Genomic DNA, 4,320 nt, shown 5'->3' on the forward strand with positions numbered 1-4,320 from the left:
TTTATAACACTGATATCAAATTGCCCATTCATTGCTTATTGTTCTATACCAGGAATAGCATACACCTAGATTAAATGCTACCACTTCCTCTCCAACCTAAAACTCTACTTCAGCATCCTTTTCAAAATCAGCTAGACCACTGACCCTGCGAAGCCACCCTGGCTGTCCTCCCAGGTCCTGATGGGTGGGAAACTGCCCTGAGGAGGCTGGGAGGGGAGGGCATGATGCTGAACTTCTGTGCAGCCCCCAACTGCAAGCGGAGGAGCATGTGGTTGGACCTGGCCTTCTTCAAGTTCCTGCAGTATCGGGCCAGAGCCCAGAAGTGAGTGAAGAATTGTTGGAGAGCAGACTTAGAAGATAAAATGCCTGACCAACTAAATAAACCTTATTGATCATGTGCCAAATACTTTGAGACCTCTGTGATCGGTAGAAATGTAAATTTTGCAGAAACATCAGAAAAATTCAGAATGATTGGGTTATTTTATTTCTCAAAATTAATTGAAGCAGATATTTGTGAAGTAATTGGGAGAGTCCTTATAGGACTGTTCTTCAATACAATGCAATACCAACAATATTTGTTCTTACCAATCATTTAAACAATTCAAATAATAGACACACAAAATGAATAAAAGAATTGAATGAAGATGAAATCAAGACAGTGAAACAGAGAAAAATTTATGAAACTCTGAACAGGAACAAAAACATAAACTAACAACAGCAATGCTCAGAACCCCACTGCAGAAGAAGGGGATGAAGAGCAAGATGAGGACATCTTACCTGTGACCCTTGAGGACAAGGAAAACAAAGAATGCCTAAAATCTCTATTTGAAGTCTTGATTGTTATGGGATAGCAAAATGTGTCGCTGAATGGACATGAGGCTAATGAAATCACAGGAGGTCTCTTTACTCAAGATAACTTTCAAGCAATGCTAGAGTGCCTGATAAATTCTGGTGCGGAGGTCCTGAGAAAGCACTTTGAGACAACAGCAGTTAACACATTGTTATGTTCGAAAACACAGCAGAAACAGATGCTAGAGATCTGTGAGGGCTGTATTCAGGGAGAAACTCTCAGAGAAGTGAGAGACTCACACTTCTTTTCTATCATCACTGACAATGTAGTGGACATAGCAGGAGAGAGCATCTAACCTGTGTTGGTGAGGTTGATGAATCTCATAAACTGAGAGGAACTTGTAGACTTCCTGGCTTATGAAGCTGATGCAGAAATTTTGGCTGTGAGATTTTACACTGTGACAACTGAGAAGCAGGGACTAAATATGGAGTATTGTCATAGCCTGGCTTACATTGTTTCCAGTGGATTTTCTTCCAAAATGAAAGTTGTCACTTGTAGAGTTTTAGAGAATGCTAGAAGCAACACTCCGCAAGCTATCTACACTCTCTGACCTTATTGTGCCTTAAATATGTGTTGGGCTAAATCAGTGCCTGTTATTTGAGTATCTGTTGCATTAGGAACAATTGAGGAAGTTTATTCTTTTTACCATAGATCACCACAACTGCTTGTAGAACTTTACAATGTAATTTCTATTCTTTTTCAGAACAATGAAGAAAGGGGTAAACAAACTGAAGGGAATTTGCCATTCTCAGTGAACAGTCAGGGATGATGATTCTGAAATTTTAGTGGACCTCCTGTAAGCACTTGTTTTATGTTTAGATGGTATAAGTAGTGACACAAATATTAGATGGTATAACAGTATAGATGGCCAAGCATTTGTACTCTGCAGTGTAGTAACAGATTTTGATTTCATGGTTACTATTGCTGTTATTTAAAATGTCTTAACTTTTACAAGAGCCTTGGGAAAACAATCTTCAGGGGCAAACCTCTGATGTCTTCTTTGCAGCCAGTAGTTTGACTGCTGTATTGCATTCACTCAATGAAGTGAAGGAAAACATTAAAGTTTATGAGGAGTTTTGGTTTGAGGAAGCCATGAATTTGGTAGCCAAACTTGATATGCAGATGAATCTCCCTGGGAAATTCCACAGAGCTCAGCAAGGTAACTGGGAATCTCAACTAACCTCTGAGTTACTGTAAAGAAACCCTAAGTGTTCCAACAGTGGAGCACATTATTCAGGTACTTAACGATATATTCCCAGAACAGCATCTCAGAGCCCTTAAATGCTTAGCTCTGGGATCCTCAGTCACGAGATAACTCAAATTTCATACATCAGAGGAACACCATGCCAACATGTACAGAAGTAACTTACTTAGTCCTGGCAAGCTCTCAGCCGAGCTTCATTGTTGGAGAATCAAGTGGAAACACATAAGGGAAGATATAAAGCTTCCATTCACCATTTATGAAGTCCTCTATCTGCCTGACATCAAGTTTTTTCCTAGTGTGTATGCATTGCTGTATGACCTGTGTATTCTTCCTGTGACGAAGGTTGAGAATGAGTGGTATGAAAGCATACTTGAGGAACACTTTGACCAACCAAACTTAAGAGTAACCATGCTTTGCATAACATAAATTTTGATATGAAACATGATCTGAATGTAATGGTGGACACATATATTAAACTCCATACAACTATGTCAGAACTTCCTACAGATAATTCAAAAACCATTGAAAATACCTAGGGGACTTTTAAAAATAGGCTTTCTCACATTTGATACTTGGAAGAAAAGCCTTAAGGTGTATGAAGGCCACTTAATAACGAAATATCTTTGCCTGTAGGCCTCCATTGACTATATTAGCCATTGATAATCTACCTATTTAAATGATCCCTATTTAAACTCTCATGCTTTGAAGACCTATCTGTTCTTCCAGAAAATAACATTGAAAGTGCCATGTTTGAGTTCTGTGTGATCTCTTCTAGTGGCACTCTGGAATTGTTTTAGTGAAGTGATTTTAGACATGACACTTATTATTACAGTGGATCTCTAGTTCTTGGGTGTTGACAATTGTTTGAAGAAATATATTCTGAGGAGGTGTGGGAGAAAGGAGTACATTTTATAAAATGTTACAGTGAAGCCCACAATTGATCTTTGACTAATAGGAGATTTTAGTATGTTGTTAAACATCTGCACTGGACAGTTACCAGAAAGAAGCTTGTGAGCTTGCCAAAAGAGAATTTCACTGTAGATTTTGTCTCTCTCAAATGAACTTAAAGGAATGAATTACAGTTAAAATTAGAATGGAAGAGCCTGCCATTGTTGTTCAACATCTGGTTGTTGCTGTTTACATTTTTTTGTGGAGCTTACATCTTCCTAAGCTTTGTAGCAGGTATATGTTGAAGACTTCTGTTTCATGGTTAAGGCAGAACCAGAGGCTGGGGTACTGACAACTGACTTGTCTGTTTTTTTCTCTATTTTTCCATGATTATATCTACTGTCTCGTCTTTGTTTACAAGCAAAACCTGGGAAACTTACAAAAACAAGTGCTTTGTTGTTTATCTAGAAATAATATGGAAAATTTTATTATTATTTTTGGTGAAGAAAATCAATTTGCATAGGTTATTTCAATCTAAATTAAATGTGAATTTTATTTTTTAAAAAGTCAACTCTTTAGGCAGGCAGCAATAAACATTTAGAGATGGCATTTGAGTTGACACTTGTGCACTATATTAACATAATATTTGGACAAAAAGAAACGTAAGGAAACATTATTTATAATATGTGCTTATTATTTTACAGTGGTCTGTGGGGGAAACAGGAATCCACCAAACACAAATTTGAAATGACTGTATGACAGGAGAACAAAGATAGCAGTACTTACCAAGACATGCAAATGTATTTTTATCAGATCTTCCGTAGCCTCAGGGTTCACTTTGCTGTATATGATAAATCAAAGATTCTCAGATCTGAAGGCCACCTCCTCTGCCCTCAACCTGGTACATAAGTCTCCTCTCGCTCACTCTTAGAAGTGAATATTCAGGTTCTGCACTGGGATCTGCACAACCTTGGGAAGTTGCAGCTTCCTAAAGCAGCCCACTTTCATTTGGGGACAACTTAAATTATGATTTAAAACTAAAACAAAAACAGCTGGGCACAGTGGCTCACAGCTTTAATTTCAGTACTTTGAGAGGTTGAGGCAGGAGGATCCCTTGAGCTCAAGGGTTTGAAACCAGCCTGGGAAGCATAGCCAGACCTCATCTCTACTAAAAATCAAAAAAAATTAGCTGGGCATGGTGGCATGCACCTGTAGGGTCAGCTACTTGGGAGGCTGAGGCAGGAGGATTACCTGAGCCCAGGAGGTACAGGCTGCAGTGCGATATGATGCCACAACTGTACTCCAGCCTAGGTGAGAGACTGAAACCCTGTATCAAAAAATAAAACAAAAATAAAAATGAATATTTAAAAAACCCTTT

General features: G+C 38.5%; 1 pseudogene; it reads left to right on the top strand.

The window, feature by feature from the left end:
* Nucleotides 530-2,887, top strand: THAP12P4 (THAP domain containing 12 pseudogene 4; annotated as a pseudogene).
* Nucleotides 2,888-4,320: the final 1,433 nt, after the last annotated feature.

Source organism: Homo sapiens, chromosome 11 (genome assembly GCF_000001405.40).
Source record: "Homo sapiens chromosome 11, GRCh38.p14 Primary Assembly".
NCBI lineage: Eukaryota > Metazoa > Chordata > Mammalia > Primates > Hominidae > Homo > Homo sapiens.